General features: G+C 48.9%; 2 annotated features.

Annotated features, from left to right (window-relative positions):
* Nucleotides 16,627-17,158: an enhancer, noted in NCBI's record as "H3K4me1 hESC enhancer chr11:64206949-64207480 (GRCh37/hg19 assembly coordinates)". NCBI's record gives its function as "activates a minimal SCP1, AML or CMV promoter by ChIP-STARR-seq in naive H9 embryonic stem cells {active_cell/tissue: H9 hESC(naive)}" and the evidence as "EXISTENCE:reporter gene assay evidence [ECO:0000049][PMID:30033119]".
* Nucleotides 17,691-18,221: an enhancer, noted in NCBI's record as "H3K4me1 hESC enhancer chr11:64208013-64208543 (GRCh37/hg19 assembly coordinates)". NCBI's record gives its function as "activates a minimal SCP1, AML or CMV promoter by ChIP-STARR-seq in naive H9 embryonic stem cells {active_cell/tissue: H9 hESC(naive)}" and the evidence as "EXISTENCE:reporter gene assay evidence [ECO:0000049][PMID:30033119]".

Raw genomic sequence — 24,018 nt, forward strand, 5'->3', positions numbered from 1 at the left:
GTTGAACAGTTCTTCCTTTAGCTTATTTCTCTCCTATCTCATTTTACTAAAACAGGCAAGAAGAAGTGAAGTGGCACTTCCAATACTCTGCCTGGAAATCTCCCTAACAAGATCACCTAGCCCATTAAGTACATTTTCTACTTTCCACATTACTACAGATAACAGTGCTGCTAAACTTTCAGACACTATAACAATAATTTTCTCTCCTCCAGTTTCCAATAATACTTTCTCCATTTTCCTTGAAGTCTTCATCTGCAACACCCTCTAAGGCCACTTGGCTTCAATTAACAGTTGAAGTTCCTGGCCGAGCGCAGTGATTCACGCTTGTAATCCCAGCACATTTGGAGGCCGAGGCAGGAGGATCACCTGAGCCCAGGAGTTTGAGACCAGCTTGGGCAACATAGTGAGACCTCAACTCCCCAAATTAAAAAATGAGGCAGAAGGGTTGCTTGAACCTGGAAGGTCAAGGCTGCAATGAGCCGTGATCATGCCACTGCACTCCTCTCTGGGTGACAGGAGTGGAAACCTTGTTTCAAAGAAACAAACAACAAGAAACAGGTGAAGTTCTGGCTAGATACCAGAATTGCTTGACTCTTTTGTGCACGGATTTCTCCCCCTTCCTCAAGCCCATTTCCTACTTAGGGCATTGGAGTGTTCTTTTCTTTTTGTCTGTAATATCTTCCAGATATCTTCATGGCTTACTGCTCTCCTTAATTCAGGTACCACTTAAATGTCACCTCTTCAGAGAAGCCATCTGTGACAATCTAATATAGGGTCCCAGGCTGGGCGCCGTGGCCCATGCCTGTAATCCAACACTTTGGGAGTCCGAGGCGGGCAGATTGCCTGAGCTCAGGAGTTGGAGACCACCTTGGGCAACATGGTGAAACCCCATCTCTACTAAAATACAAACAATTAGCCGGGTGTGGTGGCGCATGCCTATAATCCCAGCTACTCGGGAGGCTGAGGCAGGAGAATCACTTGCGCCCGGGAGGCGGAGGTTGCAGTGAGCCGAGATTGTGCCATTGCACTCCAGCCTGGGCGACAGAGCGAGACTCTGTCTCAAAAAAAAAAAAAAAGGGTCCCCATTCTCTATACACTGACTCTGCTTTATTTTTCTTCATAGTACTTTTCACCACCTGACATCATGTTATATATCTATTTGTTTACTATCTCTCACTACATTAGAATTCAAGCTCACATGGGCAGAGGTCCTGTCTGTTTTATTCGTAGCTGCAGTCCTAATGCCTGGAAGAATTCCTAGCATGTCACAGTTGTCCAATAAATGTTTGTTGAATGAAGGCATTAAGCAGCCTCTGCAGAGGCACCCAGCATAGGTAGACGAGGCTCACGCTGGGATTCAGAGGGGATTCTCCAAAGGCATCCAAGGAAGAAGTTTTTGGAAATAACAGGCAACAGGATACACACAGGTTCAGGAGCAGGATATCGATGGCAGGTCTCGGAGTCAAAACAGGATCTGCCCTGCCACGTCTGGCCTTTTGTTTTCCCTGAAGAGGTGAAACCTTGAGCAGGTTAGGAGATCTGAGCCTTTTTCCTGAGGTAGCTGATAAGCGGGTATTTCCTTTTTCTTTCTTTTTGAGATGAAGTTTTCACTCTTGTTGCCCAGGCTGGAGTGCAATGGTGCGATCTCGGCTCACTGCAACTTCTACCTCCCGGGTTCATGCGATTCTCCTGCCTAAGCCTCCCGAGTAGCTGGGATTACAGGCATGAGCCACCAAGCCTGGCTAATTTTGTATTTTTAGTAGAGACAGGGTTTCTCCATGTTGGTCAGGCTGGTCTCGAACTCCCGACCTCAGGTGATCCACCCACCTCGGCCTCCCAAAGTGCTGGGATTGCAGGCGTGAGCCACCCGCCCAGCGTTCCTTTTTCAAAATAGTACACTGGTGCCCACTTGGCCTGTGATTCAGCCTAAGCAGGATTTGTGGACACAGGGAGCTTTCGGAGGCAGGGGTTGGTCAGAGATTAGGGATGGAGTCCATGCACAAACGTCTTCAGTCCCATGGAACTGGGTATGTGGGTTAGGGCCACAGAATATGGCAAAGACAGTTTTGTTTGTTTCTTTGTTTGTTTTTTGAGACAGAGTCTTGCTCTGTCGCCCAGGCTGGAGTGGTGCGATCTCGGCTCACTGCAACCTCCGCCTCCTGGGTTCAAGCAATTCTCCTGCCTCAGCCTCCCGGGTAGCTGGGACTACAGGTGTGTGCCACCATGCCTGGCTAATTTTTTGTATTTTTAGTAGAGACAGGGTTTCACTATGTTGGCCAGGCTGGTCTCAAACTCCTGACCTCATGATCCGCCCACCTCGGCCTCCCAAAGTGCTGGGATTACAGGCGTGAGCCACTGCGCCCGGCCAAAGACAGGTTTTATATGGAAAGATGGAAGTGGGAAATTGAGGTGGCGGAAGTTTCAAGAGTATGTGTAGAGAAGGGTCCATGAAGGAGGTGAGGGCAGATCCCCCTCAGCAGACAGACCTGGTTAGACTCAGCTCTGCAAAACATGAGCTGAGCTGCTGAGAGGCTACTTCAGCCTTTATTTATTCCACTCAGTGTGAATATTCATGCATCTCACTGTGAAAATACTAATATGTTTGATCGCAGCGTAGTGCCCCAGGCCCACTGGGGGCTGTTATATAATGCACAGTGTGTATGCATCACATTCTCTTTCTAAAATGTGAAGAAATCAGATTTCTGAAACACATCTGGCCCCAGGGCTTTTTGAGAAAGTCAGTGGATCTATAAAAACACTAACCCCAGGGGTGCTACAGAATTACACTAGAAAATATGTATCTGGTGCCAAGCACAGGCTTCGCACACAGTAGGTGCTCAATAATTGCAACCTGTTACTGTCTATTCACACCTTGATTTCTAGGAGATATACATGTATGGAAATGTATAAGTTTTGTACTTCTTTTGCTAAATTTATTCTGAAATTTTAAATTCTTTTTGATACTATTGTAAATGAAGTTTCTTTTTAAATTTCTTTTTTTTTTTTTTTTTTTTTGAGTCTGACTCTGTCACCCAGGCTGGAGTGCAATGGTGTGATGTCAGCTCACTGCAACCTCCACCTCCCGGGTTTAACCAATTCTCCTGTCTTAGCCTCCTGAGTAGCTGGGACTACAGGCGCCCGCAACCACATCCAGCTAATTTTTTTTTTTTTTTTGTATTTTAGTAGAGGTGGGGTTTCACCATGTTGCCCAGGCTGGTCTTGAACTCCTGAGCTCAGGCAATCCACCTGCTTAGGCCTTCAAAAGCGTTAGGATTACAGGCATGAGCCACCATGCCTGGCCTTTAAATTTCATTTTGTAATGTCCACTGCAAGTATATAGAAATACAATTGGCTTATATACATATTTTTTATTTTTAGAAATGGGGGTCTCACTATGTTGTTACCCAGGCTGATCTGGAACTCCTGGCCTCAAGCAATCCTGCCTCAGCCTCCCTCAGCTGGGATTACAGACGCGGCCCACTGTGCCTGGCTTGGTTCTTATATATTGATCATGTATCCTGCAACTGTGCTGAACTTGTTTATTAATTCTAGTAACGTTTTTTAGTGGATTCCTTTTTTTTTTTGAGACAGATTTTCACTCTTTCACCTAGGCTGGAGTGAAATGGTGTGATCTTGGCTCACTGCAACCTCAGCCCCCAGGTTCAAGTGATTCTCCTGCCTCAGCCTCCCGAGTAGCTGGGATTATAGATGCCTGCCACCATGCCTGGCTAATTTATATATTTTCAGTAGAGACACATTTCACCATGTTGGCCAGCCTGGTCTCGAACTCCTGACTTCAGGTGATCCACCCGCCTTGGCTTCTCAAAGTGCTGGGATTACAAGGGTGAGCCACCGCACCCGGCCTAATGGATTTCTTAGTCTTAAATATACAAGATCATGTCATCTGCAAATAGAGATAGTTTTATTTCTTTTTTTCTGTATATATATGCCTTTTATTTCATTTTTTCTCAAACCACTATACCACCAAGGATTTTAATTTCATTTTCTTGTCTAATTGCCCTGGTTAGAACTCCAGTACAACACTGAATTGGAGTGGTCGAGGCAGGCATTCTTGCCTTGTTCCTGATCTTAGGGAGAAAGCTTTCCGTCTTTCACCATTAAATGTTAGCTTAGCAACATGGCGAAACCTCATCCCTACAAAAAATGCAAAAGATAAGCTGGCATGGTGGTGCTCATCTGCAGTCCCAGCTACTCGGGAGGCTGAGATGGGAGAATAACCTGAGTGTGGCAGGTGGAGGCTGCAGTGAGCTGTGGTCACGTCACTGCACTCCAGCCTGGGTGACAGAGTGAGACCCTGTCTCGAAAAAACAAAAACAAGCTGGGTGCGGTGGCTCATGCCTGTAATCCTAGCACTTTGGGAGGCCGAGGCGGGCGGATCACCTGAGGTCAGGAGTTCGAGACCAGCCTGACCAACACGGAGAAACCCCGTCTCTACTAAAAATACAAAATTAGCCAGGTGTGGTGGCACATGCCTGTAATCCCAGCTACTTGGGAGGCTGAGGCAGGAGAATCGCTTGACCCTGGGAGGCGGAGGTTGCGGTGAGCCAAGATCATGCCATTGCACTCCAGCCTGGGCAACAAGAGCAAAACTCCGTCTCAAAAACAAAACAAAAAAAACCCAAAGTGATGTTAGCTGTGGATTTTTCATAGATCTCCTTTATTAGGTTGAAGAAACTCCCTTTTATTTTTAGTTTGTTCAATGCCTTTTTCATGAAGGGGTGGTAATTTGGTCAATGAGTTTTTCTGTGTCTATTGAGATGATCGTGGGTTTTTGTCCTTTATTTTACTGAAAGGGTGACTTGCATTAATTAATGTTCAGATGTTAAAACAACCTTTCATCACGTGGTCATGATGTATAATCCTTTTTATATGTTTCTTTCTTTCTTTTTTTTTTTAGACAGGGTCTTGCTCTGTTGCCCAGGCTGGAGTGCCTTGGCATGATCACAGCTCACTGCAACCTCGACCTACTGGCTCAAGCAATTCTCACACCTCAGCCTCCCAAGTAGCTGGGGCTACAGGCGTGCGCCACAATGCCTGGTTAATTTTTTAATTTTTTTGTAGAGACAGGGTCTCACTATATTACCCAGGCTGGTCTTGAACTCCTGGGTTCAAGAGATTCTCCTGCCTCAGCCTCCCAAAGTGCTGGAATTACAGGCATGAGCCACCACACCTGGCCCTTTCTATCTGTTGCTGGATTTGTTTTGCTAGTATTTTGTGGAGAATTTTCACATCTGTATTTACAAGAAATATCGGTCTGTAGTTCTCATTTCTTATGATGTTTTTGTCTAGTTTTGGTATCAGGGTAATACTGGCCTCAGACTGAGTTGGTAAGTGTTCTTTCTTCTTTTACGTTTTGGCAGAGTTTGTGAAGAGTTGGTAGTAATTCTTTAAATGTTTGGTGGAATTCACCAACGCAGCCTTCTTGGCCTGGGCTTTCCTTTGTGGATAGTTTTCTTATTATCAATCCAATCTTTTTACCTGTCATAAATGTATTCAGGTTTTCTGTTTCTTCTAGAGTCAGTTCCTATAGTTTGTGTCTTTCTAGGACAGGGGTGTCCAATCTTTTGGCTTTCCTGATCCACACAGGAAGAAGAAGAATCGTCTTGGGGCACACATAAAACACACTAACATTGACGATAGCTAATGAGCTAAAAAAAAATGGCAAAGAAATCTCATAATGTTTTAAGAAAGCTTACAAATTTGTGTTGGGCCGCAGATTGGACAAGCTTGTTCTAGGATTTGTTCATTTCACCTAAGTTACTAATTTGCCGGTGTACCATTTATATTTATTTGAAAGAGCTCCTTACACTCTAGCTGCTGATGGCTCCTCCTTGAATCTCTCTTCCTTTTGATTTTCATGATGTGCTTTCTTAATAGTCTTGTGACTTTGGCCTCATTAGAATGGGGACGATGAGAGGGCTCCCCCGTTGAGTGCTCGTCAGGGTCAGATGAGCGGTGCCTGGGACGTGTGGAATGTGGCGCCTGGCTCTGGGGAAGCATTAAGCGCCTGCTCGCTCTCGTCCTCACCCTCCCGGCTGCCTCCAGCTCTGGCTACTCACCCTCGGCCTCAGCAGCCATTCTTCAGGCCAGTGACTTTCAGCTGGGGATGATTTTACCTCCCTGGGGACTTCTGGCCATGTTTGGAGACATCTTTGGTGTCACCACCAAGGGCATGCGATTGACTACCAGCAGGAAGAGCCCCAGACACTGCTAAACACCCCGCAATGCACACAGCATCCCCCCACAGCAAAGATTTATCTGGCGCTAAATGGTAGTGCTAAAGTCTCTATGGAAACAGCTCTCCATGATTGTTGTAGAAAGAGTAGAAAATATAGTTAAGCCAAAAAAAAGAAAGAAAGAAAAAAGAAAAAGAAGAAAAATCTCTTATAATCTTGCCACATTGAAAGAACTTCTGTTAGGAAGGAGTATTTTTTATTTTAGAAATAGGAATGTTTTGAGAATATTCTGGCTCCTTTGAGTTTCCTCCCAGCGATGTCACCTGCTCGTGGTGTGACACAATATGTGCGGTGCTGGTTCAGGTCTCGGCCAGTCTGTAGATGGTCTCTCCCTCCTTCTTGATGAAGAGCAGAGGCAGTCCCTAGAAGGTGGGCTTAGTCAGGTGAGGGTGAGCAGGGCCCCTGGTTTGTCTGTAGTGGCTTGGCGTCTTTCCATTGAACTCCGTGTGCATCTAGATGTGTGTGCACAAGGATGTCCCCGAGTCACCACCCAGCTGGAACGTAGACCAGTACGTTCGATTCTGTAGCCTGGTTAGTTACGGGAAAGAATACAACTTGGGTTCATTTTGGCAGGCCCACTTGGGTTGCATTGTTTGATTATGTAGTAGGTCCCAAATGTTTTTCTGGGGCCAAGGGCAGCCCAGGCAGGGCACGTGCCCTTGCTGCAGCCAAACACAGACATCATTTGTCCCCTCAGCATTTGTCACACCTTGATCTCACATGTCTCCCTTGTAAAGCTCTGTCTCTTGTGTACTCAGGCGAGACCCGGGGCTCAGATGACATCTCCCGGAGGAGACACTGGCTTAGCCTGGGCTCTCCTTGGAAAGGTAGCAGATATAAGCTTCAGGCCTCTCCGTAAGAAATCAAACTTGCTCAAAATTGCTGTGCATTGCCGCATGTCGGTGTCAGAGGCTGAGCCAGCCACCCAAAGGCGCTGAGGCTCAGCCACGGCAGGGTGAACAGGTGTTCAGTATGTTACTTCTCACCCTCTACCATTTGCGGAATATCAGAGGTAGGCGCCTTGGCCCAGCCTTGCGACCGGCTTCCAGTTTGCAGGTGAGGCCCTGAGAAATGGTCGCTCTGCTTGGCCGGGGCTGAGCCTGGGCTTCTGATCTGCAGGTGGGCAATCTGCCCTCTCCACTCCTTTCTCTCCCAGGAGAGGTCTGAGTCAGCCCATCTGAGCTCCACCGGGGCCCAGACTCCATATGCTTAGGCCCTGGGGCCCCCAACAGCTGATCTACAGCCGTGACCTTGGAATCACCAGGGAATTTCAAAAACAGGCAGGGTTCCAAATCTACATTGAGACATCTCTCCTGGGTCAGCCAGGAGGTGAGGGACCACTGTTCTGGCCCCCTCTTTTCACAGAGGAAGAAGCAACATCCAGCCTGAAGGAGGAGACTGACCATAGCCAATGAATCCCCCAACACCACCTTCACCTTCTCTCTCTCTCCCTCTCCTGCTGGTGTGTGTTTCAGGGGGTGTGAACATGTGGACTCGTACGTGCCATGTAGATAACCTTCCCTCTCTGCTTTAAGCCTTCCCTGATATAGCGTGTGGCCTGCAGGGTCTGCTTGATGCCGACATCGACCCCACGATGGGGACAGACCCTGGGGATGTGTGATCCTGAGTCGGCCGGGGCCCCGCTGTTCTTTGGGAGCTAAAATCTGCCATTTCGCTTAGCAGAGACCCCAGTTCACAATAGAAGAGGTGGCCGCCGACAGCCTAGAAATGCGGCCTCTGGCTTCATGAAAGGTGACTTTGAAAAGCTGCATTTGTGCTTGACGAGGTCTGGGCAGCTGAGCTTTACGGTGACAAATGATTTCAGCGCGAGGCCACGCTGTCGGGAGCAGTAGGGGATAAAAGGCTCCTTCTCTAAGGCTCCCCTTTAAAACATTTCTTTTTATTATGAGCTATTTCAAACACAAACACGAGTGGAGAGAACAGTACAATGAAGCCCCATATACCCATCACTCACCCAGATTAGATAATCAGCACGATTTGGCCACATTGCTTCACTATCTCCTCTTTCTTTCTTCTCTTTCTTTCTGCTGGAGTATTTAAAATAAAATCTCAACCATCACCTGGCTTCACCTTTGTATCTTCCTCTGAAAAAAAGATATTTTCTTACATAACCACGAAGCCAGGACCACACCTGAGAAAGTCAATATTAACCCCTCGGGGCCGTCTGATACCCAGTCCATAATCAAATGTCCCTGTTTGCCCTAAAACGGGCTTTCTATACTGTTGGAATCTGGATTCAGAAAAGGCTCATGTGCAGTGTTTGGTCATTTAGGTCTGTTATTTATTTTATTTTATTGGAAACAGGGTCTCACTCTGTCCGCCTAGGCTGGAGTGCAGTGGCGCGATCATGGGTCACTGCCACCTCCAACTCCCAGGCTCAAGGGATCCTCCTCGCTCAGCCTCACAAGTAGCTGGGACTTGTAGTCAGGCATGTGCTGCCACGCCTGGCGAATTTTAAAATTTTCTGTAGGGATGGGCCCTTGCTATGTTGCCCAGGCTGTTCTCAAACTGCTGGGCTCAAGTGATCCTCTAGCCTTGGCCTCCAAAGTGCTGGGATTACAGGCGTGAGCCACTGCACCTGCCCAGGTCCTTAAGTTTCTTAAGGACCTTCCAGTCTTGGGCTGATCCCCACCCTTCCTCTTATAAATTTAATGACATTGACTTATTGTAGAAACCTGGCTATTTTTGCTTAGGTTTGCTCCACATCCTGGACTCCTCTATCTGCTTCCTCATGGCGTTGGACTTACCTACCTACCTCCCCTGTGCTTCCTGTAAATGGATGTCAGCATTAGAGGCTCAATGAGAATGAGATTCACCTTTTCTTTCCCCAAGAACAGGCCACAGGTGGTTCTGGGTGCTTCTCACTGTCTTATCGGGGGCATGCCTGGTCGGCTTGTCTCTCTTTTCGTGATGGTCAAAAGGACTTGTGGGTCCAGAGGGTGACAGCCCCACCCGTCCATGGTAAAGTTCCTTGTCTGGTAGCTCATCTTCAAAGATGGCCCCCAACGAATGTGCCTCCCAGTGTTCTCACCCTTAGGTAGTCTCCTCCCCGGGGCTGAATCCCGGCTGGCTGGCTGACTTGCTTTTGCCCACTAGGGTGTGGTGGAGTGAACTCGTGTGATATCTGAGGCTGGGTCATAGAAGCCTTGTCCTCTGAAAGTCTCTGGTCTTTCAGAACATGTACTCTGGGGGAAGCTAGCTGCCATGGAAGGAGTGACACTATTCTGTGACCACCATGATGTGAGGAAGCCCAAGCTAACCATGGGGAGAGGCACCTAAAGAGAGACAGACAGAGAGAGAGAGACCCACCAGCCCTTGCTGCCTCCTGCAGTTTCAGCCAAGGCACCAGACACCAGACTGCTGAAGACATCCTGGGTATCCTGCCTAGTTGAGTTTTCAAATCACCGCAGTCCCAGCTGCCATTTGACTCCAACTGTATGAGAGGCCCCAGGTGAGATCTGCCCAGCTGAGCCCTGTCAGCTCATATTCAGTGAACTCTGAATGTGAGAGGTAATATGAAATTGTTGTCATTAGTTACCACATTTAGGGATGGCTTGTTATTAACTGGGAACACCAATCAACTTTTCCCCTACATGTTTTAACCATTGCCTGAATCAGTCACTTTATTAGAAGTTACAAAAATGAATTTCTAATTCCATCATTCCTCTCACATTTATTTGCTTGGTTACCCTGAGATATGGTCCCTAGATGAAAGATGGGGAAATTATGGGATTCTCTCCTTTTCATGGATGGCCCACTCTCCTTTGAAAGTGGTGATCTGACCCTTCTTGGATCCTTGGCCCAGATCAAGGTAGGAGAGAAAGAGGAAGACAGATAAGAGGTGGAAGGTGAATAGGAGACTTGGTTTCCAAGGAAACCACCAGGTAATCATCAGGCCCTCTGAGGATCATTATTTCTTTCTCTTGCTAAAAGCCAGATGCTGTCACCTTCTAAGCCAGCTCAGATGCTTGGGCAGGCACTAAAATGGGTCCTTAGGGGAGGCAATGGGCGTGAGACCCTGTGGGGTGGCTGCTTCCACCCTCAGGCTGGCTCCCTCTCCAGGGCCTGTAGGTCCTCACCCCTTCCTCTCAAAGACAGACCACTTACCCCAAACTTCCTCAGGCCATGAGGAGTGCCTAGTTCTGGGCTGAGGGCTGCATGCAAAGCTGTCTTCCCAGGAGCTCCAAGGGACAGGATGACTTTGCTCAGAGTCGTGTCCTGGGCCTTCATCTGTGAGAACATTGAATCTGAGGACGCTGCCTTGTCCCAGGGGTGATGGTGCCCTGAATTCCAAATCCTTCAGAAGAAAAATGAACAATGACCCTGTGTCCAGTGATCAGAGGTGACTCCAGAGTGAGCCTGGCCATGGTGCGAGAGCTGCCAGGGGCAGTTAAGAGCCACTATTTATTTATTTTTATTGATTGATTGATTGAGATGAAGTCTTGCTCTGAAGCCCAGGCTTGAGTGCAGTGGCACGATCTTGGCTCACTGCACCTCCGCCTCCTGAGTTCAAGCGATTCTCCCACCTCAGCCTCCTGAGTAGCTGGGACCACAGGCATGCACCACCACACCCAGCTAATTTTTGTATTTTTACTAGAGATGGGGTTTCACCATGTTGGCCAGGCTGGTCTTGAACTCCTGACCTCAGGTGATCCACCCACCTCAGCCTCCCAAAGTGCTGGGATTACAGGCATGAGCCACTGCGCCCGTCCGAGAGCCACCATTTAATGAGCACTTACTATGTGTGGGACAGACCGAGGGCCACTCAGCGCTGCAGGCCAGTGACCTCACAGATCCTTGTAAGAGCTCCCTGAATGGGCGTGCCCTTCAACCTGCTTCACAGATGTAGGGATGGAGGCCCAGCAAGGTCGAGCCACTTGTCCAAGGTCATGCAAAGTGCCGCCTGCCATCTAACTGCAGAACCAATTCAGACATTCGCCCTTGCCAAGCCCCGTCTTGCTGGGAGTTGCTCTGGCAATGAGTACTCCTTGTTGTTTTATTATTTACCTCCAGCTGTGCACCTGGATTTGTTGGGTGACCCATAAGACATAAAGGATGGAGGAGTCCTACTCCAGGCTGGTGCCTGAGTCCTGATTGTGTGTGGGGCCCCCTGCCCCCCACCCCACCCTGGGGCACTCAAGGCAGATCTGAGTTCTGATTGGCTGGACTGGCTTTGGGTGGGGCTGGTCTAGACGTGGTCAGTCTTGCACATTCACAGAAGTGCTCAGTGCAGTCACTGCCTGGGCAGTGGAGCTGGTGCTGTCTTTGGCATTCTCCCCAGTGTGGAACAGACTTTATTTGTTCTGCAATAGTATCTGACAGCATCCGGTTTAATGCATGCATGGAGGAAATACCCCTAAACATAGTGTCCCCCTCATCAGAAACAATGGCTGGACACGTGTGAACATTTAGGAGGTGTTGCTTAAGCAAACCAAGCTCTTACGAATGTGGGGAGGGAACACCATTCCCTACAATGATTGTGCCGTGTGAGCTCTGGTTACAAGGAAAGGGGTCCAGGGTGGGCCCGGGAGGTTCCTGTCCATGCCGAGCCTGGCTCACATCAGGGCAAGATCACCTCCACCCAAGGTGGGCTTGGGTGGACCTACTGGCCACCTCTCAGGAACTCAGAACAGCACTGGGTGCTTTTGTCTGGGATTTCAACACATCCCTCCAAGAACCTTGCGAGGCAGGGAGCATTGTAATCCCCATTTCACAGGTGAGGCAGTTGAGGCTCCGCTCACCTTGCCCATTCAAGGTCACGTAGGTGTTTTCCTAAATGGAGCCAGGATTAACATGCTGGTCTGGGAACCTTCTGTTCTCTTCCCAACTGACAAGGAAACTTCACTATCACGGATTCATTAAGACCTTAGATTATATTTTCTCTGATCACAAGGGTAATATGTCGTGATTTCTAAAATAGAGACGTTAGAAAATATAGAGAAAAAGAAAAACATAAAAGTCACTGTGCCCCTATTCAGAGATAAAAGATGCCTATTCTTAGACTAGTGACTCTCCGACGGGAGCACGTGTGAGACTCACCTGGAGGGCTTGTTAAAGACACAGATTCCCTGGCCCCATCCTGAGTGTCTGAGTCGGTAGACCTGGGTAAGGGCTAAGGATTTATGTTTTTAATGATTCCTGGGTGATTCCTTTCTTTGGGACAACTGCTTAGATTAGGGTCTGTCAACCTCAGCACCATTGGCACTTGGGGCCTGCGGGTTCTCTGCTGCAGGGCTGTCTTGTACACTGCTGGGTGGTTAGCAACGTCCATAGCCTCTACCCTCTAGATGCCAGAAGCACATTCCCCCTGAGCTGTGACAGCCAGAAATGTCTCCAGACATTACCAAATGTCCCCTGGGGTGGGGAGCAAAACTGTTCCCAGTGAGCAGTCCTGTTCTATTCTTGTTTTCTTTTTTTGTTGTTTCTTTTTGAGATGGAGTCTCGCTCTGTCACCCAGGCTGGAGTGCAGTGGTGTGATCTTGACTCACTGCAACCTCTTCCTCCTGAGTTCAAGCGCTTCTCTTGGCTCAGCCTCCTGAGTAGCTGGGATTACAGGCACCCGCCACCACATCCGGCTAATTTTTGTATTTTTAGTAGAGACAGGGTTTCACCATGTTGGCCAGGCTGATCTCGAACTCCTGACCTCAGGTGATCCACCCACCTCGGCCTCCCAAAGTGCTGGGATTACAGGTGTGAGCCACCGCGCCTGGCCTCTATTCTTGTTTTCCATGTCCATTTATATTCGCACAGAGAGACACTCCTCCGTCACACACATGCACATATACACATGAACACATGCATGCACACACATGCAGAACACACATGAACATACATACATATTTTTCTTTGAGAATAATGTCAAACTATAAATACAGTTTTATAACTTGCTCTTTTTCACCTAACAACACATTGCCAATTAACTCAGCAATTAGCTTTGCTGGCAGCAAAGAGAAACAGGTTTTCTGCACAGATGATGTGGGAAGCATCACTGAGAGCCTACCACATGGCTCTGGGCCAGGAAGCGGGCAGCGGAGGGGGCACCTTTCAGATCCACCATCCTCTCCTCGGTGCAGGTGCAGGAAACTCCAACTTCGGGCAGGTGTGTCCACCTCTTACAAAGCTCTCTGTCTGGCTTCCAAAAGCTCTGGACTTAGCTTATAAGAAAAATGAGTCATCTGACAACATGGTTGTGAACTAGGACAGAGGTACTCAGGGATGCAGGGCTGTTCTCTCCAGACTTGCACCATCTTCCCCCCTCAGTGGGTTCTAGAAGTGGACCAAGAGACCCCAAGCTGGTGCAGAGTGAGTGTCCCCGGCTCTCCCCTGTTTGCCTGGGGGTGGCCAGGCTGGGACTGCATCAGGCAATGGCTGTGGCTATTGTCAGGCAGGCAGGCTGCCCACCACACAGGCATGAAAAAGGCCCTGGAGGGGGTTCCTGGGGCCTTCTATGGGATGCTGGCTTTTGCTATTCCGGTTATCCCTGAGGTCTCCTTGGCTGTCAGCCTCATGGTTCATTGTCTCCAAGCCAGGAATCGGCCACTGCCCACTGCCCTGAGTGGGGTCGCTCTTTGGGCTCAGTGTTAGGGTAGTTGCTGGAAACTGCAAGAGGCTGTCTGGGCAGGAATGTTGCGAAGGGAATGCAAGGAAGATGAGAGGGCCGGGTTGCGACCCTCACTGCTGCCTCTCCTGACACCCTCTCCTCCCTCCCCCTGCCCTTGCTAAAATAGTTTGGGGGGAATTGACTCAGCCTCCAGGGATGGGCCCTGATGGGTCTAAACAATCCATGTGATCCTGTCCTCTGTCCCATGGGGTTTCTGTGCCAGAGCTGTGTGGGCATCTAGTGTGTGCCTCTCCTCCCAACTGTGTAGTCAGGTTAGTGGCTTGAAATCAGCCATGGGGTGGCCGTGCGCGGTGGCTCACACCCATAATCCCAGCATGCTGGGAGGCTAAGGCTGGCAGATCACCTGAGGTCAGGAGTTTGAGACCAGCCTGGCCAACATGGTGAAACTCTGTCTCTACTGAAAATACAAAAATTAGCCGGATGTGGTGGCAGGTGCCTGTAATCCCAGCTACTTGGGAGGCTGAGACAGGAGAATCACTGGAAATGGGGAGGGGAGGTTGCAGTGAGCTGAGATTGTGCCACTGCATTCTAGCCTGGGCAACAGAGCAATACCCAGTCAAAAAAAAAAAATCAACCATGGGGAGTGTTTATACCACAGAAAATGGCACATGCTATAAATTAGAGCTTTTCCTCACACCCGTCCCCACCCCAGAGAGCTGGCTTACCTACACACCACTGACCCTCTCCCACTAATTGTGATAAAGGAGCCAGGCAGCCAGCTGCTGCTGGTGGCCACCGCACAACCACAGAGGGCTGACGGCAGGAGGACAGTGCAGAGAGACAGAAAGAGCATGGCTGCGGATGACATGCCTGATCATGCCTCACCTCTGGACTTTTTGGTTACATTTTTTCCGCATTCTTGAGAGCATCCTAAATGCTGCACCCTGGCCCTGGGGTGATTGACAGAAGGCAACACAAATGCCAGGTGAGGACCTTCAGCCCCCGGCCACTGTGGAGCAAGCAGAGCTGTTTTTGTCAAAGAGCAAAATTCTCTAGCCTGTGAGTGTTGCCGGGTGGACCTTCCCCTTCCTCCTGCCTCCCGAGGGGATGCTGCCCCAAAAGGGTCCATTTCTCAGTCTCCCCTGCCCTTAGAGATGAGCCCTGTTTTTGCCCTTTTGTGATATAAAGTTAGAAGGATGGGAAAGAGAAGAGAGGAAAGAGAGGAGAGAGGAGACAGCGAGAGGCGGGAGGCCAGGGACACCCACAGGCTATGAAGGGGCAATTTCTCAACATGGGAGTTCCTTTGTGGTTTTCTTTTTTTCTTTTTTCTTTCTTTCTTTTTTTTTTTCTTTGAGACGGAGCCTCGCTCTCTTGCCCAGGCTGGAGTGCAGTGGTGCGATCTCGGCTCACTGCAACCTCTGCCTCCTGGGTTCAAGCAATTCTCCTGCCTCACTCTCCCGAGTAGCTGGGATTACAGGTGCCCGCCACCACACCCGGCTAATTTTTGTATTTTTAGTAGAGATGGGGTTCACCATGTTGGCCAGGCTGGTCTAGAACTCCTGGCCTCAAGTGATCTGCCTGCCTGGGCCTCCCAAAGTGCTGGGATTACAGTCATGAGCCACCACACCCAGCCTCTTCTTTTTTTTTTTTTTTTTTTTTTTGAGAGGGAGTCTCACTGTGTCACCCAGGCTGGAGTGCAGTGGTGTGATCTAGGCTCACTGCAACCTCTGCCTCCTGGGTTCAAGCAATTCTCTTGCCTCAGTCTCCCAAGTAGCTGGGACTATAGGCACGTGCCACCATGCCCAGCTAATTTTTGTATTTTTAGTAGAGACGGGGTTTCACCATGTTGGCCAGGCTGGTCTGGAACTCCTGGCCTCAAGTGATCCACCCTTTCGGCCTCCCAAAGTGCTGGGATTACAGGCGTGAGCCACCATGCCCCCGGCCACCTTTGTTGTTTTCTGAGGATATTTTAACAACTTCTGGAACACAAATCTGGCTCTGCACAGTAGCTGGATTGGGCAATATGAGTCCACTGATGTCCCCGCTGCCCCAGGGACTCTGGTATCTGGGGCAGAGGTGGGACTGGATGGGTCTGAGCAGGATTTTGGCCAATTCCCCTGGGACTTTCCCAGAAAAGAACTGATGGACCCAGGTAGCCAGGGGCGACCATTCCACAGCTAGAGAAACCAAAGCGCTTTGAATTTTTTTTTCCTTGGGACATCTCCCAACCCTATTCATAAGCTTTGGTCTCTTTTGTACAGAAGAATGTGGAGTGAAGCAGAATACAGTGACCTAGGGGAAAAAAGAGGAAACAGTACAATTTTAGCCCAATTTTTCTGGAGAGAATGGAGACCATGCTTTTGGTATTGTCTGGGAGGGCGCACACCATCAGCGGCCTTGGACCAGGCTGGGAAACGTGTCCAATCAGCGGAGCCCTCAGGGGCTTGTACTAGTCTTTGAAGAAAGCCCTTTGGAGCCAGCTTCTCGCCCGGTTGTGCTGGGGAAGCAGAATTCTCAAAGGTCACGTCGCCCTCTCGCTGCCCAGCGCTGGGGGGAGGCTCCTCTTCTGCTCCCTCGGCAGCATCTGGAAACGGCCTCTTCATGGCCTCTGAGACGTTTTCTCTCTCTCCTGGGGGCTGGGGCTCACTTCCTCCCCTTGATGTCTCCCCGTAGGTTCTGTCCTTGGCTCTTTTGCCTCCAGGGGCTTCCTCGGCAATTTCACCTGTTCCATGGTTTCAGTGATCCTGTCTCTCTGGAATGTGGGTGGACAGCCTTGGGAAGCTGTGAATTCTCCAGCACCAAAACCGTCCTCCCTGAAAGGGACAGACAGCCACTCCCCGCAGAGCTGGGGAGACTCGGGGACCCTGAAGAGCAGGGGTCTCAAACTGCAGTGCTGGAAAGGGCCAGGCAGGTGTGCAGAGGAGAGGCCTGGGCCAGGAGGGAGGGGCAGGGTGCAGTCAGCTGGACGGAGAGTGCCTGGGTACTGGGCGAGGACGGCTGAGCTCCAGCTGCCGTGTAGGGATAAGGAGCCTCAGTGGGGCCAGTGCAGTGGCACTTAACCACAGGGATGCTGATGCAAATAAGCACGAGCCTCTTACACAGCACCTGACATGCAACAGGAGGCCTCCTGTTTTAAATTTTAAAAAAATTTTTCGAGATGGGGTCTTGCTCTGTTGCCCAGGCTGGAGTGCAATGGTGCAATCTCGGCTCACTGTAGCCTCGAGCTCCTGGGCTCAAGCGATCCTCCCATCTCAGCCTCCTGAGTAGCTGGGACTATAGGCATGCACCACCATGCCTGGCTAATTTTTAGTATTTTTTTTTTTGTAAAGTTGGGGTCTCACTATGTTGCCCAGGCTGGTCTTGAACTCCTGGGCTCAAGTGATCTGCCTGCCTTGGCTTCCCAAAGTGTTGGGATTACAGGCGTGAGCCACTGTGTGTGGCTCAGGAAGCTTCTTGATTCTTCCACATTGATCTCCCCCTCCTCTGAATGGTTGTCATGGTGTTGTGCCCCTCATGTGGTCCTGATCACACATTTCTCAGGTGATGGGATGTATCAGTTAGCTACTGGACAATAGTGTCATGTAACAAATGGTCCCCAAACTCAGTGGCTTAGAACAATGGTGATTTGTTCTCATGATTTTGTGGATTGGTTGGAGCTTGGCTGGTGCGGGCTTCTGGCTGGGGCAGCTCAGGCAGCTCCACTTTTCCCTGCTGGTCTGTGGCTCAGTGGGGCAGTGCAGCTCCACGAGTCTCTCATCCTCCTTGCATGAGTGGCTCAGCTGGGACATGCTTCTTTCAGAGCAGAACATACAAGGCTTCTTGGCACCTGGCAGGTGGTCACTTTTGCTTATGTGCCATTGGCCAAAGCAAATCCCATGGACAACCTCAAAGTCAAGGAGCAGGGAAGTACCCATTGCCCATGACAAGGCCACAGCAAGGGTGTGGACGCCGTAGGAGGTGGTGAGTTAGGACTTCAGCCCCGCCCCGCCGAGCCCACAGGGACGGAAACAGTTTTAGGTGAGTGCCTTTTTGCAGTGGCTGACTCATGGGGACAGGACCCTTCCTGAATGGCCTGGGACCCTGTTGAGAGCCATCTCTGGGGGAGAGGTTCCAGCAGCCCAAGTGACATATTAGCAAGAATTCGAGCCAGCATTTCTGTGCATAGGGGTAGGGAGTGGGGAGAAGGGCCTAGCAGGGCAGTGTGGTGCATGCAGTAGGTGCTTACTCAGTGTTCGATGGAGGAATGTAGACTGTCTTCTATCCAGGAGTGAGGGAAGCAGATTTTCTCTGGGTTGAGGCAGGGAGGAGGCTGGGGGTGGAGGCCTGGGGGGCTTTGATGTCCCTTTCTTGCCCCCAGGAAGCACTGCTGACTCCCACAGAGAGCAGAAAAAGAGCAGGTTAACAAAAGGAGTTTATATTCGGTCTTGAAATGTATTCCTTCGGGGGTTTCTTTTTTTCCCCAGCAAGTCAGTTCCTTTTCAGTATTTCCTTTCATTTTGTTTTAGATTTATCTTTCTATAAATAGCATGACTGGAATGAAACGTTTATTGAGGTACAACAGTGTGCAAAATGCATTGCTCTTAATAGGACAACTTGATTGCGGGTGACCACACCCATGCCCATGCAGCCAACACCCGCATCAAGGCCTAGGACGTGCCTCATCCCCGGGGAGGCCCCTCATGCCCCTCCCGGAGGGAAGCTCCATTCTGACTTCTGTTGCCATTGTGTGTTCTACTGTCTGTTCTGGAACTTCATCACCACCGAATCCCACAGGATATGCTCTTTCGTGTCTGCCTGTTTTCTTCTACTGTTAGTGAGAATCCTCCGTATTACTGCGTGTAGCAGCAGTTTGCTCTTTTTTCCTGGTTCTGTAGTAGTCCATTGCATGAATATATCATTATGTATCCATTCTACCATTGATGGACATTTGGGTGGTTTCTAGTTTGGGGCTATATTAAGTAACACTGCTATGAACATTCTTGCACATGTCTTTTGGTGGGAAATACGCACTCATTTCTCTTGGATATTTGCCTAGGAGTGGAAATGCTGGATCATAGGGTGGACGTATGTCTAGCTTTAGTAGATAGAGAGAGAAAATGGTTTCCCAAAGTAGTGGTATATAATGAGATTTTTTCGATCCGTCCCTCCCTCCCTCTCTTCTTCCCTCCTTCCCTCCCTCCCTTCCTTCTTCTCTCCTTCCCTCTCTTTCTTTCCTTCCTTCTTTCTTCCCCAATTTGAACTTCCAAGTTAAAAGGGGAATTTAGTACATTCACATTTATTGTGACAATTGATATATTTGTTTTTATCCTTTTCATCTTATTTTATGGTTACTATTTGTAACAGAAATCACCCAGTTGAAGCAGCGAGAGAGTCATCCAAGGAACTGGGTGCTTACACGATGCTTAGAACAACTGGAGGAGGAGGTTTGGCGATGAGCTTTCAGGAGTGACTGACTGCCACCTCAGAACTGGCCTGAAAGGGAATTGCTATTTCTGGCACAGCTGGGAACCTGGGGACTCAGCCCACCACTGTCCCAGAGGCTGGCCAAGGACCACACCATCCCTGCTGGACGCAGGGGTCAGAACGCAGCTGCCACAACCGTGGGCTCCAGGACTGCGTGGCTTAACCCAGCAGATGAAGCTGGATGCTGCCTCTGCCCTGGGACCTTGGATCCTCACCATCCTCCACATTTGCATCTTTTAAATAACCTTGTTTAAACCTCGAATTCTCTCTTACTAATCCAAGTTAACTATGAAAACTACCCAACCCCCTAAGGTTTCACTTGGCCGCTCTGCCTACACTACCTCAAAAGAGAAGCCTAGAACTTTTACTTCCCTTCCCTCGCTCCCTTACTGCTGCCCCCAACTCGACGTCTGAGTTTTGCAGATGCACTGAGAATGTTTAGTTCCAGTCTCAGCCCATTTATTATTATATTTTCTCTTCTTTTTGTTTTTTCAGATGGAGTCTTGCTCTGTCGCCCAGGCTGGAGTGCAGTGGTGCAATCTCAGCTCACTGCCACCTCCACCTCCCGGGTTCAAGAGATTCTCCTGCCTCAGCCTCCTGAGTAGCTGGGATTACAGGTGTCTGCCACCACGCCCGGCTAATTTTTGTATTTTTGGTAGAGATGGGGTTTCACCATGTTGGCCGGGCTAGTCTTGAACTCCTGACCTCAGGTGATCCTCCCACCTCGGCCTCCCAGAGTGTTGGAATTACAGGCGTGAACCACCACACCTGGCCATACATTTTGTCTTATAGTATGTTTCCCGCCTTTCAATCATCCCTCCTTTAATTACATGATATTTCTCGGGCATATTGTCATCCATTGAAATGTAATCAAACACACTTTGGCGCTGGCTGCTATTTCCTGTGTTCTGTCTTCCACTCTTTTGAGACTTTTGTTCCAATTTGATTTTCAACTTGTTAGAGGGTTTTCTGGTCTGCTTCCCTTGGTTTCTTTTCCTGGTCTGCTGCCTTTTCTCACTAGTTGGCAGATTGGTTCTCTCCCTTCTCACTTCCAGGGATGCAAATGAGAAGTCTGCCTGTCTGTTGTCGCAGGGCCCTTTCTGGCTGGAAGCTCCAAAGACTTCTCTTTATCCTGGAGCTCAGACGTCTCACCAGGTGTGTATTTTTTATTCATCACGGCTGCCTAGAGTCCTTTCAGGTCACAAGATTCACGTCTCTCTTCTACTCTATTATTTCTTAAATTACTATATCTCCTTTTGTTCCTTTCTCTTCTTTTAGAAATGCTATTCCTTACAATTTAGGGTCCTAGATCTGATTCTTCAGCCTCTTACCTTTTGATTCTTGCCTTCGTTTCTCTGTGTTTGTGTCCGACGTCATGGGCGAGCTCTTCCATCTGATCTGCCAGAATGCAGCTTTTGTTTTCTAGCGGATCTTTCCTCCCTTCATGTCCTGGATTGATTTTTTAATTCTGGAAATCGTGTGTGTGCTGAGCTCTCAGGAGCCTTGCTGTGTGTTGTGTGCAGAGGAGGCCCTGGTCCGGCCAGGTGGTTCCTTTGCCACCTGCCGAAAGCAACGATTTCCTTGGCATCTCTGCAGGTGGAGTGACAGAAGCCTCACAGCTGGCTCAAACCTACAGGGAGTAGAAGACATGGGCAGGGGGCGACCCACTTGGCCACACTGGGACCCTTCACCGAGATGTGCCTTGGGAGGACCGTTTGTACTCTCAGGTCTTGGCTGTAGGAGCAGAAGTCCAGTGGCAAAAGCTATACGGACCCCAAAGAAGCCATGACCCCAATGCCCGTATCAGATGTGGCCTAGTTGGTTGATGCAGAAAGAGCCAGTGGGGCGCAGAGAGCGAAGAAAAGTTCTGCTTAGAGAGGAAGATCAGGCCCCAGTCAAGGAGTGGGTCCTTTATGTGGGAGGAAGAGCCAAATGGATATGTGCTTACCAGAGGGGAACTGTGGACAGCGCTCAGTGTCCACTAAACCTGACCCATTTTCTTTCTTTCTTTCTTTCTTTCTTTCTTTCTTTCTTTCTTTCTTTCTTTCTTTCTTTCTTTCTCTTTCTTTTTCTTTCTTTCTCTTTCTTTTTCTTTCTTTCTTTCTTTTCTTTTCTTTCTTTCTTTCTTTCTTTCTTTCCTTCCTTCCTTCCTTCCTTCTTTGCTCCCTTCCTCCCTCCCTCCCTTCCTTCCTCACTCCCTCTCTTCCTTCCTTCCTTCCTTCCTTCCTTCCTTCCTTCCTTCCTTCCTTCCTTCCTTCCTTTCTTCTCTTTCTTCTCTTGTTTTTGTTTTTTTTGAGATAGGGTCTCACTCTGTCGCCTAGGCTGGAGTGCAGTGGCATGATCTTGGTTCACTACGGCCTCGACCTCCTGGGCTCAAGCCATCCTCCCACCTCAGCTGGGCTTGAAAGGGAATCGCTATTTCTGGCACAGCCGGGAACCTGGGGACTCAGCCCACCACCGTCCCAGAGGCTGGCCCAGGGCCACACCATCCCTGCTGGACGCAGGGGTCAGAATGCAGCTGCCACAACCGTGGGCTCCAGGACTGCATGGCTTAACCCAGCAGATGAAGCTGGATGCTGCCTCTGCCACCTGAGTGGCTGGGACTACAGGTGCACTCCATCATGCCTGGCTAATCTTTTGATTTTTTTTTTTAATAGAGATGGGGTCTTGCTGTGTTTCCCAAGCTGGTCTTGAACCCCTGGGTTCAAGTGATCCTCCTGTCTCAGTCACCCACAATGTTGGGATTACAGGTGTGAGCCACCTTGCCTGGCTAAATCTGGTTCATTTTCTTCCTGACACACAAACTACAGTTCCCAGCTTCTCCTGCAGCTGGCTAGGTCCCTGTGGCCATGTGACCTGTTCTAGCCAATCAAATGTGGGCAGAAGGAACATGTGCTCCTTCCGTGGCATTCCTATGTGCTGTGATCTGGAAGGCCACATGTTGAGGATGGCAGGGCTCCACGATGGAGGGATCTCAGGTTTCAAAGTCACTGCAATGCCAGAGAACTGCATGGGAGAAGCACCCAACCAAGGACATTCATATTCAACTTGCATGAGCAAGAGATAAACTTGTGTTAAACTACAGGTTTGGAGCATGCTTGTTACGGCAGCTAACCTATGCTGACTAATACAGAAGTCTTTCCTGGAAGCCCCCTGGCAGACCTGCCTAGCCAGCTCATTGATGGCAACTGGGTGCATGCTCCCCACTGAGTCACTGGTGGGTGGGATTGGTATCCAAACCATATCAAGGTTTGCCAGCAGGAAGAAGGTGGGAACTGATTCCGGGTAAGCAACCACAAGCAGCTGCCATATTAGTGAGGCTGAACAGCTTTTTATATATTATTGGCTAATTCCACACTTGTTTTGTCAATTGCCTCTTCATGTCCTTTGCCTGTTTGTCTGCCATGTTTGGGGTATCCATTGACTTCTGCTATGGAAGCAGAAGACGCCAGGGGCCCACTTTCCCAGCCTCCCTTGCAGGCTGCAGGCTTATGATTGAGGATCTGTCATTCAGAGGCTCTTGCCTCAGGAATGGGATTAAAAGCTAATGGCCAGAGGTAGCAGAAGCCGTGCAGACTTGATTCCAGAGAGAGTGAAAGCAATGGCAGCTGATCCGTGGCAGTGCGCAGGACCCAGTAAAAAGGTAGCCATGGTGTCTTTACTTGACCAGCTGGAGCACAGTTTCTGTTCCTGTCTGGGAGGCCTGCAAGCCTGGTTCTCCAGCCCACCCAGAAAGTCTGTGGTGGTACTTGATACTCATCCCTTTTCTGCTTAAATCAGCTAAGGTCAGTTTCTGTTGCTTGCGAGAAAAAACTATCATATTAACCCTCCATCTGTATTATCTGTTACAAATCTTTTTTCCAGTTGTCAGTAGTCTTTCAACCATACATATATATATATGTGTGTGTGTGTGTGTGTGTGTGTGTGTGTATAGTTGTATAGTTATATATATTATATATATAATATATAATAGCTTTCTCAGAGAGAAGTTTGAGATTCTCATGCAGCCGCATAGATCAACCATTTAGTTTCTGGTTTTCAGGTCAGGTTTATTTATTTATTTTTATTTATTTATTTATTTTGAGACAGAGTCTTGCTTTTTCGCCTAGGCTGGAGTGCAGTGGTACAATCACAGCTCACTGCCTCCTGGGTTGAAGTGATTCTCCTGCCTCAGCCTCCTGAGTAGGTGGGATTACAGACGACCACCACTACATCTGGCTAATTTTTGTATTTTTAATAGAGATGGGGTTTCACCACGTTGGTTGGCCAGGCTGGTCTCGACTTATGACCTCAAGTGATCCGCCCACCTTGGCCTTCCAAAGTACCCAGCCTCAGGTCATGTTTAAAAAGGCTTTCCTTAATCCAAGATTATAAATATATTTAATTAAGTTAAAAAACTTAAGTTGTTATTGGATTCAAATATTAATATTTAAATATTTTGTTTAAACGTATACAAAATTAAAAAATTCAAACACTACTACTAGGCTTAAAATTATATAAATAAAAAAGAGTTCTCTGCTCCATTTCTCTGATTCCCAAAACTCCCTCATTAGGGGCACCCACTTTCAGTTTTTGAGTAGATGTTTCATCTTTTTCTTTCTTTCTTCTTTTTTTTTTCGAGATGGAGTTTTGCTTTTGTTGCCCAGGATGGAGTGCAATGGTGCGATCTTGGCTCACTGCAACCTCCGCCTGCCGAGTTCAGGTGATTCTCCTGCC

This window comes from Homo sapiens, chromosome 11 (genome assembly GCF_000001405.40).
Source record: "Homo sapiens chromosome 11, GRCh38.p14 Primary Assembly".
NCBI lineage: Eukaryota > Metazoa > Chordata > Mammalia > Primates > Hominidae > Homo > Homo sapiens.